At 44.2% G+C, this 12,923-nt stretch overlaps 1 long non-coding RNA gene across 1 annotated transcript in view, besides 1 other annotated feature; it reads left to right on the top strand.

Annotated features, from left to right (window-relative positions):
- The window catches only part of LOC105377448 (uncharacterized), a 192,690-nt gene that overhangs the window by 78,342 nt on the left and 101,425 nt on the right, over positions 1–12,923 (top strand). The gene's annotated exons all lie outside the window — the stretch shown is intronic.
- Positions 789–1,343: an enhancer, noted in NCBI's record as "OCT4-NANOG hESC enhancer chr4:139854116-139854670 (GRCh37/hg19 assembly coordinates)". NCBI's record gives its function as "activates a minimal SCP1, AML or CMV promoter by ChIP-STARR-seq in primed H9 embryonic stem cells {active_cell/tissue: H9 hESC(primed)}" and the evidence as "EXISTENCE:reporter gene assay evidence [ECO:0000049][PMID:30033119]".

Genomic DNA, 12,923 nt, shown 5'->3' with positions numbered 1-12,923 from the left:
TTGAATTCCTGAGCTCAAGAGATCTGCCTGCTTTGACCTCCCAAAGTGCTGAGATTACGAGCTTGGGGCATGCCCCTGGCCAACATCATCATTTTTAATGGTCACTTAATATTCATTGTACAGATGTGCAGTAAATGTTTTTTTCTTTTTTTTTTTTTTTGAGATGGAGTCTCGCTCTGTCGCCCAGGCTGGAGTGCAGTGGTGCGATCTCGGCTCACTGCGACCTCTGCCTCCTGGGTTCCAGCAATTCTCCTGCCTCAGCCTCCCAAGTAGCTGGGACTACAGGTGCCCACCACCACGCCCGGCTAATTTTTTGTATTTTTAGTAGAGACGGGGTTTCACCATGTTAGCCAGGATGGTCTTGATCTCCTGACCTCGTGATCTGCCCATCTTGGCCTCCCAAAGTGCTGGGATTACAGGCATGAGCCACCGTGCCCGGTCAATGTGCAGTAAATGATTTTATCTTAATGTGATTTTTTAAAACAAATTATCAGAAAGACATGCTCTGAAATGTTTTTTTCCTAAACATTGCAGAAGGCATGAAGTGAAAAGTCATCTCATTTATTCATTCTTGTCCCCAATTAATTCTACCTCCCAAAGGTAACTTTATGATCTCCCTAGGATGAGACAGGACTAGTAAAAAAAAAAAAATGTACACACATATTTTCCCAGATGCGATCATTTTATCTTCTATAATTTGCTTTAAAAAGTTTTACACTGTATTGTGTACATTTTCCAGGTCAGTGGATATAAAGTGAATTTCATGCGCATCCGTGTGAAGAGACCACCAAACAGGCTTTGTGTGAGCAATAAAGCTGTTTATTTCACCTGGGTGCAGGTGGGCTGAGTCCGAAAAGAGAGTCAGCGAAGGGAGATGGGGTGGGGCTGTTTTATAGGATTTGGGTAGGTAAAGGAAAAAGGGGGGTTGTTCTCTGGTGGGCAGGAGTGGGGGGTCACAAGGAACTCAGTGGGGGAGCTTTTGAGCCAGGATGAGCCAGGAGAAGGAATTTCACAAGACAATGTCATCAGTTAAAGCAGGAACAGGCCATTTTCACTTCTTTTGTGGTGGAATGTCATCAGTTAAGGCAGGAACTGGTCATCTGGATGTGTACGTGCAGGTCACAGGGGATATGATGGCTTAGCTTGGGCTCAGAGGCCTGACATTCCTGTCTTCTTATATTAATAAGAAAAATAAAATGAAATAGTGGTAAAGTGTTTGGACAGCGAAAATTTTGGGGGATGGTATGGAGAGATAATGGGCGATGTTTCTCAGGGCTACTTCGAGCAGGATTAGGGGTGGCGTGGGAACCTAGAGTGGGAGAGATTAAGCTGAAGGGAGATCTTGTGGTAAGGGGTGATATTGTGGGGTTGTTAGAAGAAACACTTGTCATGTAGAATTATTGGTGATGGCCTGGATACGGTTTTGTATGAATTGAAAAAGTAAATGGAATAAGAGGAGAAAAGCAGGTATTAAAGGACTAAGAATTGGGAGGACCTAGGACATATAATTAGAGTGCCTTAGGAGATTCATCATAGTCCTGCCAGCAAAAATTATTTATTTACTTCAAGAGTTAAGAGCGGTGGTTTGGGGATAACACCAGGAGATATCAGCTGTGCTGGCTTGGAGAAACAGTGTAAACTGGCAGTGTAAACAAGAGCAGGGCATGTATGAGTAGTTGAGAACGGTGAATAGAAGTAGGACTAGACAGAAGACAGTAGGGATGACAAGTTTTTGGGGCACAGTCCAAGTTGGTCTAGTGTCTGGAATGAGACTGGGGCCTAATAAAAAGGAGCTCAAGTGGGCTGTACCTTGTAGCATTCCGAGGACAGGCCTTAATTCTGAGAAGCGAAAGTGGTAAAAGTATTGTCCAGTCCTTTTTAAGTTGGTGGCTGAGCTTGGTGAGGTGTGTTTTTAAAAGACCATTAGTCTGTTCTACTTTTCCTGAAGACTGAGGACTGTAAGGGATATAAAGGTTTCACTGAATACTAACACCTGAAAAACTGCTTGGCTGATTTGACTAATAAAGGCTGATCTGTTATCAGACTGTATAGAGGTGGGAAGGCTAAACTGAGGAATTATGTCTGACAGAAGGGAAGAAATGACTGTGGTGGCCTTCTCAGACCCTGTAGGAAAGGACTCTACCTATCCAGTGTAAGTGTCTACCTAGACTAAGAGGTATTTTAGTTATCTGACTCGGGGCATGTTGAGTAAAGCTAATTTGCCAGTCCTGGGTGGGGGCAAATCCTCGAGCTTGAAGTGTAGGGAAGGGAGGGGGGCCTGAATAATCCTTGAGGAGTAGTAGAATAGCAGATGGAACACTGAGAAGTTATTTCCTTGAGGATAGATTTCCACGATGGAAAGGAAATGAGAGGTTTTAAGAGGCGGGCTAGTGACTTGTACTATAGCATAGCCTGCCTTTGCTGGTGTGTGGCGATTAGGCCTGGTGGAACTGCCATCAATAAACTAAGTGCGATCAGGGTGAGAAACAGGGAAGAAGGAAATGCGGGGAAATGGGGTGAACGTCAGGTGGATCAGAGAGATGCAGTCATGAGGGCCAGGTGTGGTATCAGGAATAATGTGGGAGGCCGGATTGAAGTCCCGGCCAGGAACAATGGTAATTGTGGAACTTAACAAAGAGTGAGTACAGCTGAAGGAGCTGGGGAGCAGAAAGTATATGCGTCAGGTATGAGGAAGAAAATAGATTTTGGAAGTTATGAGAAATGTAGAGAGTAAGTTGAGCATAGTTTGTGATTTTGAGGGCCTCTAAAAGTATTAGGGCGGCAGCAGCCGCTGCACTGAGATATGATGGCTAGGCTAAAACAGTAAGGTCAAGTTGTTTGGACAGAAAGGCTACAGGGTGCAGTCCTGGCTCTTGTGTAAGAATTCTGACCGCACTAACTGTGCCTAGGAAGGAAAGGAGTTGTTGTTTTGTAAGGGATTGAGGTTTGGGCGATTAGTCGGACACGATCAGCAGGCAGAGCACATGTGTTTTTATGAGAATTATGCCGAGATAGGTAACAGATGAGGATGAAATTTGGGCTTGACTGAAGTAATGGGGGCTGTCTGTGAAGCCTTGCGGCAGTACAGCCCAGGTAATTTGCTGAGCCTAATGGGCGTCAGGGTCAGTCCAAGTGAAAGCAAAGAGAGGCTGGGATAAAGGGTGCAGAGGAATAGTAAAGAAAGCATATTTGAGATCCAGAACAGAATAATGGGTTGTAGAGGGAGGTATTGAGGATAGGAGAGTATATGGGTTTGGCACCACGGGGTGGATAGGCAAAACAATTTGGTTGATAAGGCGCAGATCCTGAAGTAACCTGTAAGTCTTGTCTGGTTCTAGGACAGGTAAAATGGGGGAATTGTAAGGAGAGTTTATAGGCTTTAAAAGGCCATGCTGTAGCAGGTGATTGATAATAGGCTTTAATCCTTTTAAAGCATGCTGTGGGATGGGATATTGGCATTGAGCGGGGTAGGGGTGATTAGGTTTTAATGAGATGGTAAGGGGTGCATGATGGGTCACCAAGGAGGGAGTAGAGGTATCTTATACTTGTGGGTTAAAGTTGGGGGATACAAGAGGAGGACGCAAAGGAGGCTTTGGATTGGGAAGAAGGGCGGCAATGAGATGCAGCTGTAGTCCAGGAATAGTCAGGGAAGCAGATAATTTAGTTAAAGTGTCTCGGCCTAATAAGGGAACTGGGCAGGTGGGGATAACTAAAAAGGAGTGCTTAAAAGAGTGTTGTCTAAGTTGGCACCAGAGTTGGGGAGTTTTAAGAGGTTTAGAAGCCTGGCTGTCAATACCCACAACAGTTATGGAGGCAAGGGAAACCGGCCCTTGAAAATAAGGTAATGTGGAGTGAGTAGCCTCCGTATTAAGAAGGGGAAGTACTTACCCTCCACTGTGAGAGTTACCCAAAGCTCGGCGTCCGTGATGATCTAGGGGGCTTCTGAGGTGATCAGGCAGCGTCAGTCTTCAGCTGCTAAGCCAAGAAGATCTGGGAAGGAGTCAGAGAGCCTTGGGCCAGAGTTCCAGGGGCTCTGGGAGTGGCTGCCAGGTGAGTTGGACAGTCCAATTTCCAGTGGGGTCCTGCACAGATGGGAAGCGGCTTAGGAGGAATCCTGGGCTGCAGGCATTCCTTGGCCTGGTGGCCAGATTTCTGGCACTTGTAGCAAGCTACTGGGGGAGGAGGTTCTGGAGGAACGCCTGGCTGCTGCGGTTCAGGTGTTTGGAAGTTCTTGTGTGCTGGAGATGTGGCTGGGGTTTGTCTCACAGTGGAGGCAAGGAATTGCAACTGTTTTCTATTATTGTACACCTTGAAGGTGAGGCTAATTAAATCCTGTTGTGGGGTTTGAGGGCCGGAATTTAATTTTTGGAGTTTTATTTAATGTCAGGAGCAGATTGGGTAATAAAACGTATTTTGAGAATAAGACGGCCTTTTGACCTTTTAGGGTCTAGGGCTGTAAACTGTCTCAGGGTTGTTGCCAAAGGAGTCATGAACTGGGCTGGATTTTTATATTTGATGAAAAAGAGCCTAAACGCTATCTGATTTGGGATAAAGAAAAAGGAGCATTAACCTTGACTATGCCTTTAGCTCCAGCCACCTTTTTAAGAGTAAATTGCTGGGCAGGTCGGGGGGTGGCTAGTCAAATGAAACTGTAAGCCGGACCGGGTATGAGGAGGGGAGGTGATAAAAGGATTATAGGGTGGAGGAGCAGAGGCTGAGGAAGAATTGGGACCTAGCTCCGCCTGGCGAGGAGCAGCCTGGGGAGGAGGGGAGGTCAGATGGGTCTGTAGAAAAGGAAGATTAGAAAGACTCAGCGATGCTTGGGGTTGGGACTGAGGGGGGCAGGTGGGAGGGAAAGAAGGAAGATTTGGGACGAGTTGCATTGGGCACAGAGACTAGGAAGGGACCGATGTGTAAAAGAATGCCTGGACGTCAGGCACCTCAGACTGTTTGCCTACTTTACGATAAGAATTATTTAGATCTTGCAGGATGGAAAAATTCAAAGTGCCGTTTTCTGGCTATTTGGAACTACTGTCGAGTTTGTATTGGGGTCAAGTGGCAATGCAGAAGAAAATAAGATGCTTAGATTTTAGGTCAAGTGAGAGTTGAAGCGGTTTTAAGTTCTTAAGAACACAGGCTAAGGGAAAAGAAGGAGGAATGGAGGGTGGAAGGTTGCCCATAGTGAAGGAGGCAAGCCCAGAGAAAAGAGAGTAGAGACACGGGGGGAAGGGGTTCAGGGGTTCTTACCCTCCAGAAAAGTGGGAAAGGGGTCGGGGCACAGAAATACGAGGTCAGGGCATGGACATAAGGGATTGGGGTGCAGAGAATATAAGAGGTTGGGGTGCGGAAATAAGGGATCAGGGCAAAGAGATATAAGGGGTCGGGGCATGGAAATAAGGGATTGGGGCACAGAGATAAGAGGTCGGGGTGCAGAAATAAGGGATTGGGACACAGAGATATGAGGTTGGGGTACTTGCCCCTCCCCCAGAAAAGCAGGACTTGCTGCTAAGGGTGAAGGAGAAGGGGTTGGGGGTTTCTTGCCCCCCCAGAAAGGTGGAGAAGGGGTAGAGACACGGAGAGAAGGGGTTGGGGTACTTGCCCCTTCCCCAGAAAAGCGGGACTTGCCGCTAAGGGTGAAGGACCAAGGCAGGTGTCCCTGCGTGGTCTGACACCTCTGAAACCTGGGTGAATAATCAGAGAGGCGTCCCTGCAATGATTAAACACCAAGGGAAGGCTGCCTTCCCTAGTCCGTGACCGGCACCGGAGTTTTGGGTCCACAGATAAAACCTGTCTCCTTTGTCTCTGCCAGAAAATGAAAGGAATTGAAATTAAGAGAAGGGAGAGATTGAAGAGTGGAAAGGAGAAAGTGGTTGAGGGATAGTGAGAGAGGTTGGAGAAGAGAGTAAGAAGAGGCCGCTTACCTGATTTAAAATTGGTGAGATGTTTCTTGGGCTGGTTGGTCTGAGGACCTGAGGTCGTAGGTGGATCTTTCTCACCAAGCAAAGAACAGGAGGACAGAGGATTGATCTCCCAAGGGAGGTCCCCCGATCCGAGTCACGGCACCAAATTTCATGCACGTCTGTGTGAAAAGACCACCAAGCAGGATTTGTGTGAGCAATAAAGCTGTTTACTTCACCTGGGTGCAGGTGGGCTGAGTCCGAAAAGAGAGTCAGTGAAGGGAGATAGGGGTGGGGCCGTTTTATAGGATTTGGGTAGGTAAAGGAAAAAGGGGGGTTCTCTGGCGGGCAGGAGTGGGGGGTCACAAGGTACTCAGTGGGGGAGCTTTTGAGCCAGGATGAGCCAGGAGAAGGAATTTCACAAGACAATGTCATCAGTTAAAGCAGGAACAGGCCATTTTCACTTCTTTTGTGGTGGAATGTCATCAGTTAAGGCAGGAACTGGTCATCTGGATGTGTACGTGCAGGTCACAGGGGATATGATGGCTTAGCTTGGGCTCAGAGGCCTGACAGTGATCTAATTCTTTTTTAACAACTGCAAACATAGATGTACTGTGATTGATTTAACGTATACCCTATTGTCTTAGTCTGTTTGGGCTGCTATAATAAAATATTATAAACTGGATAGTCTATAAACAATATAAATGTATTTATTTATTTCCCACACTTCTGGAGGCTGGGAAGTCCAAGATCAAGACACTCACAAATTTGGTATCTGGTGAGGACCCACTTTCTGGTTTGCGGATGATATCTTCTCATTGTGTCCTCACATGGTGGAAGAAGTGAGGGGTCTCTCTCAGGCCTTTTTTATAAGGGCACTAAGCCCATTCACAAGGGCTCTATCCTCATAGTCTGATCACCTCCCAAAGGCTCCACCTCCTAATATCATCACCTTGGGGGTCAGAATTTCAACATGAATGCTGAGAGGAAACAAACATTCAGACCACAGCACCTATGGATCAACATTGAGGTTATTTCAATTTTTAGATATGCTAAACAATGCTATAGTGAACAGCCTTGCATATTCATCTTTATAAATGTCCCTATGTCTCTTTAGCAGTTTCCTGGCAATGTTATTGCTGAGTCATTTCATATTTTGATCAGTGTAGTCAAGCTCTTTTCCAGTTGCTTTCCACTTTAGGTTTGTACTGGGTGCTGATATTTTCATTTTCATCTTTTCTAAACTTCTGAGTAGAAAATTTTTGATCACTGTTGTTTTTATTTGTATTTCTTTAATTATTAGCAAAGTTAAAAACATTTTATAATGTTTAATGTTGGTCATTTGAAGTTCTCTTGTAATGTGCGTATTAGTGCCCTAAACCTGTTTTTTATTGGAACGTTTATCTTTTTCTTATTGTTTTGTAAGAGTTTTTAAAATGACCAATAAACACTGTACTTTTTCCAGTCTATGTAAAAATCTGACTTAATATGACACACTCTACCAACAAATCACTACCTTTGGCTTAACTGATGAGAAAGGAAAATGAACTATGGGTTGCCCCATCTTTCCCTTTCCTTCTATGTCCTTTTCAGTGTGGTTGGCTAATATAGCGATGTAACATGAGTGAGAAAGAATATGGTAGGGTTCCTTGGTTGTTCTTTTTGCTTAAACAGTATTGATTCTTTCAAGCTAAACTGGTTCAAAGGGAAAGCACGGCCTCTTGGCTGGGTTGTGGGGTAGGGGGTCACCTATCACTGAGTTACACTGAACTTTCATGCATCATGGGTCCACCAGAATTCTCTGCATGGGACATCACAGGTGGTATATGTGAATGGGAGGCAAGGAATGGTGTTACTGCGCATGCACACATATTGTATCTCCTCTGCTCACGCTCATTCTCCTTTGTCCCATGAGACTTCACTTATAAAACACAAGTTCAAAGATAAAATTATTAGGAATTTTAAGATGGCAACAATGGAGTATGAAATCAAGTGCAGGGCCTTCTGAGTGAGGGCCTGTGGGACTGTGTAGGTTGTAGCCCGGGAAGCTGGTTCTGTGGAGATACCATACGAATTCTTGCTGGTAGCTGGGCCTGGGCCATGATTTAGGGATCAGACCACTGGGGAGAAAAGAAAGGGACTCTGACTCTGCCAGCTGGTGTGAAAAAGGATCTGAGCTCTTTGTAGTTAACCCGCAATAGTCTTCTATCTCCCTAATAACATGGCCCCCTCTGCAAGCCAGCTCCTTTCTCTATACATGTGCATACATTTCCAGCTGGCTAGGACATTTAATTTAACCCATTTTTGCTCATAGCTTCAATGAAGGGTGTGGGTGTGGGCTGCATGTCAAATGCCCTAGCTTGCTCCCCATAAGGATAGTCCTGAGCTCCATACCCATAGCCCATCTCTTCTCTCATACGTAAATGCCCTGATAAAGGGGAAAACTTGGAGCATTTCATAAGTACACTTACAAAATAACTTTTCTTCCTGAAAGCATGTTTGCTTTCTGGCTGAGCAGTTGCCTTTATTCTACCCTGGATACAAGTGCATTCCAATGACTGGTGAGGGACCCTTTAGATAAGTTTGTAAAATGCTTGAAGACGCTCCCAGAAAAAAGACACCATCCAAGCATAAGGCTCTGTAATCACTTCTTTGGAAGTCTGCATTTTCCAAACATTTACCAAACATTCTTCCCCGGTGACTTGCAGATCAGCATGGTTTATTATAAGCAAGGCCATACATGGCTTCTCATATTCTCCTCACTGGTCTGTCGAGGATCTTAGTCTTACTGACTTTCCAATCAGAACAAAACCATCCATAAATAAACAAAGCTAAGAAAGCTAAGAAACAAAGCTAAGAAACAAAGACTGAGGTGAGGGAGATTTGAGTATTTTTTTTTCCTCTACCAACAAGTGAAGAATTGAACACCTTAATCCATCTGATCTCCCAGGTGGAAGCCACAAATCTTTTTTTTTGTTTTGCTCAGCATATTGGCACAGTGAGAAATTCATTTTATACTCTCTGGCATCTCTCTTGTAAACTCACCAAGTCTCAATAAGTTCACAAAGAAGGCAGAGACAAATAACCCTAGAATGCAGGTGATTGTTTATTTATGTATTTTCCTTGTTACATACCCACCTATACCCAAGGCCTTTGCAGAAGAGCTTAATAAATGTAATAGTAACTGACATTCATCACACACTGAGCTGCTCTTTCCATTTCCTGTGTCCTTAATAGATCCCTACAGAGGGTAGGGAAGAAAGCTTAGGCTATTGTCAGACGATTGTGTTACTTCTCTCTCTCCAAACTCATCAAAAATTCTTTTGCTGCTGTCTGAGTGAAATGTATTTTTGAAGAGATGACATGGGTATCGTTTGTAGATATCTTTACCAACATTTGGCCACCATTTTCCTTGACCTCACATCATTCTAATGTATTCCCAACATTTGCCATTCTCCCAAGAGCGCCTTAAACGTCAGAGGAAGGAGGCACAGGACATAATAACATCTTCTTGCACTTAGGATCATTGCTCAGGAAATTTTAAAGCACTTACCAGTGTAAGCGCCCTCCATTTCTCTGATAAAAATAATGAAAAGTGCTTGGGTTTATGATGATGGGCCTCTGTAAATTCTGATGATGGTGGACACATACATTTATAGAAAGAAAGTTTCTCTGTATAAGGTAACATTTCCAGGTCCTTCCTGCTGGGAGACTTGCTTATTCTCCCCCTTCTACTTCCTCTTCTACTCCTCTTCCTCCCCCACCTCCTTCTTTTTTCTTTTTTTTTTTTTTTTTGAGACAGGGTCTCACTCTGTTGCCCAGGCTGGAGTGGAGTGGTGTGATCGTGGCTCACTGCAACCTCGACCTCTCTGGGCTCAGGCGATCCTCCCATCTCAACCCACCTGCATAGCTGGGACTACTGGCACATGCCACCACACTCTGCCAATTTTTGTATTTTTTGTAGAGAAAGGGTTTTGCTGTGTTGTCCAGGCTGGTCTTGAACTCCTGGGCTCAAGTGACCTGTCTACCTTGGCCTCCAAAAGTGCTAGAATCTCCTTTTTTTCTTTTTATTTTCTTTCTTTTTCCCTTTAGTTTTGAGAGAGAGTCTCACTCTGTCGCCCAGGCTGGAGTGCAGTGGTGTAATCTCGGCTCACTGCAACCTCCATCTCCCTGGTTCAAGCAATTCTTGTGCTCCAGCCTCTCAAGCTCACACCATGCCTCGCTAATTTTTGTATTTTTAGTAGAGACAGGGTTTTGCCATTTTGGCCAGGCTAGTCTTGAACTTCTGGCCTCAAGTGATCCTCCTGCCTCCAAAAGTGCTGAGATTACAGGCATGAGCCACCATGCCCGCCTCCTTTTTTCTTACATTGCTTTGAAGAAATAAAAATCTTTTTCAAATTGATTACTTTGATTATTCAATTTGCTTCGATGTGACCTCTGATCATAGGTTGTATAACAGTGGTGTAGTCTTTGCAGTGTTTGGAAGGTCTCAATGACAACCCCCGTTCCTTGGGTTTAGACAATAGTCAGCATTCAGATTTATTCACTCCTTTTTTTTTTTTTTTTTTTGAGACAGAGTCCTGCTCTGTCACCCAGACTGGAGTGCAGTGATGCAATCTTGGCTCACTGCAACCTATGACTCCTGGGTTCAGACGATTCTCTTGCCTCAGCCTCCCGAGTAGCTGGGATTACAGGCGCCCACCACCACTCCCAGCTAATTTTTTTGTATTTTTAGTAGAGACGGCGTTTCACTATATTGGCCAGGTTGGTCTCAAACCCCTGACCTTGTGATTTGCCCACCTCGGCCTCCCAAAGTGCTGGGATTACAGGTGTGAGCCATTGTGCCTGAGCTTATTCACTCCTTTCAAAATGGTCAATTAGTTTCCAGATACAAATGAAAATGAGAGCTGATCTGGCATGGGGTGGGAGGAAGCTTTTAGGCTCAACTGGGTCTTCCAGGAAATCTCCTCTCCTCATTTCTTTCCTCCTCACCCCTTAAACTGGGTAGAGACTCCTCTTAGCTGCTTCCATAATACCCCTACACATATCTCAATCATTGCACTCACACCTTTTTTTTTCCTTTTGGCTGTATTACCTGGTGTTACAAGGGCACTTATTAATCTTTGTTAACCAAAGTTTAATGGCCAGACTAAAATATTTCAATTGCAGTGATTTTCTAAGATTATAATTCAGAGTCGTAAGAATTTCCAAATTAGTAATAAAGCTTCTTTATATACTATTAGTACATTTCTTATTCTATTAGCAGAAACATAGAAAGTAATATCAGTGAGGACATCCACTGTGGGAAGCAATTCGATCAAAAAATCAGGGAGTGCAAACCCGAGTGTCTGCTTTGGTCACTTAGAGAGTGTACACTTGCTCATTGCAGATATTGGAAAGTAAATGGGGGACAATTTGAGGGAATCACTGGGTCCAGAGAATAATTTCTGATTTCTCTTGTCTGTCCCCTTTTACGTTAGGCTCTGTTATTTTTTAAATGTCTGGATTCTGGATGATAAGGTTAGAATTGGTGCTGATTTTATCACCGGGATGATGTATCCTTTAGATTTTCCTTTCTATTTTAGGGTTTTATGATTAAGATGAATTTCAAAACTTAAGCAAATATTAAATTCAGAATAATCAGTCTGGGCTCCTATGAAGTCCTATGTGTGTTCTCTCCCTGTGGTACGGATGGCCTGTCTCTCCAGGCACCTTCCTGGCCTCTGCTTGGCATTCTTCCCATGGGCATCTCCATGGGCATGTCCTTGCACTGCACATTTCAATTTCTGGGAGGATGCCCATCTCTGGGTGCTCTGATGTGCACCTGGTTTTCATGCCTTTCCTAAATGCTCCCCCAGCCCCATCAGTCTCATGGCGGATACTGCCTGAAAGGGCCTATCTGGCTCAACCCTCATGTTGTTATTACTTTCTTTCCAAAAAGACCTATTGAGCATCTACTATATGCCAGATTTTGGACCAGGAAATGGGGACACAACAGAGAAAAACATAGACTCAAGCTTCTGGACTTTCAAGATTCTCAAATTTTTATAGCTTTTGCTGAAGAGAAACTAAGATCTATTCAGCTTTAAAAAAAATGTTTTTAAATTTTTTTATTTTTCGAGATGGGGTCTCGCTCTGTCACCCAGGCTGGAGCACAGTGGCACGATCTTGGCTCACTGCAGCCTCTGCCTCCGGGTTCAAGTAATTCTCCTGCCTCAGCCTCCTGAGTAGCTGGGATTACAGGGGTGCACCACCACACCCGGCTAATTTTTGCATTTTTAGTAGAGACAGGGTTTCACCATGTTGGCCAGGCTTCCATTCAGCTTTAAGATGACATCTTTTTTTCTAGCATGATTTCCTTTGTGAATCCACAGGGGAAAAATAGGAAATTAAAATGCACAACTGTAAAAAAAAATCATAAACTTTTCTTTCTTTCTATTTTTTTTTTTTTTTTTTTTTTGAGACAGAGTCTCACTCTGTTGCCCAGGCTGGAGTGCAGTGGCACGATCTCGGCTCACAGCAACCTATGCCTCTCAGATTCAAGCAATCCTCCTGCCTCAGCCCCCCTAGTAGCTGGGATTACAGGCACGCGCCACGATGCCCAGCTAATTTTTGTATTTTTACTATAGACAGGGTTTTGCCATGTTGGCCAGGCTGGTCTCGAACTCCTGACCTCAGGTGATCCACCCACCTCAGCCTCCCAAAGCACTGAGATTACAGGTGTGAGCCACCATGCCTGACCAAATCATGAACATTTTGAGCCTCTTTTATCACCTGTAAAATTATGGCAACATTCAAAATACCTAGACTTATCAATTTAAACTTTTAATGTACCATTATTCTAAATGAAATGATTAATTACATGACTTTGTATGAAAAGAAAAATAATTGTGGTTCTTTCCTACCCCGAACACCTTCCACTAAAGTAAACTTCATGTGTGCCACACAGCCACGTATAACACCAGCTATTTTAGTGCCAATAACAAATAATTAGTTTGATTATATAGATTGTTAATGTGTTATATA

This window comes from Homo sapiens, chromosome 4 (assembly GCF_000001405.40).
Source record: "Homo sapiens chromosome 4, GRCh38.p14 Primary Assembly".
In the NCBI taxonomy this organism is placed as follows: domain Eukaryota; kingdom Metazoa; phylum Chordata; class Mammalia; order Primates; family Hominidae; genus Homo; species Homo sapiens.
This window is presented reverse-complemented; position numbering and strand designations above follow the sequence as displayed.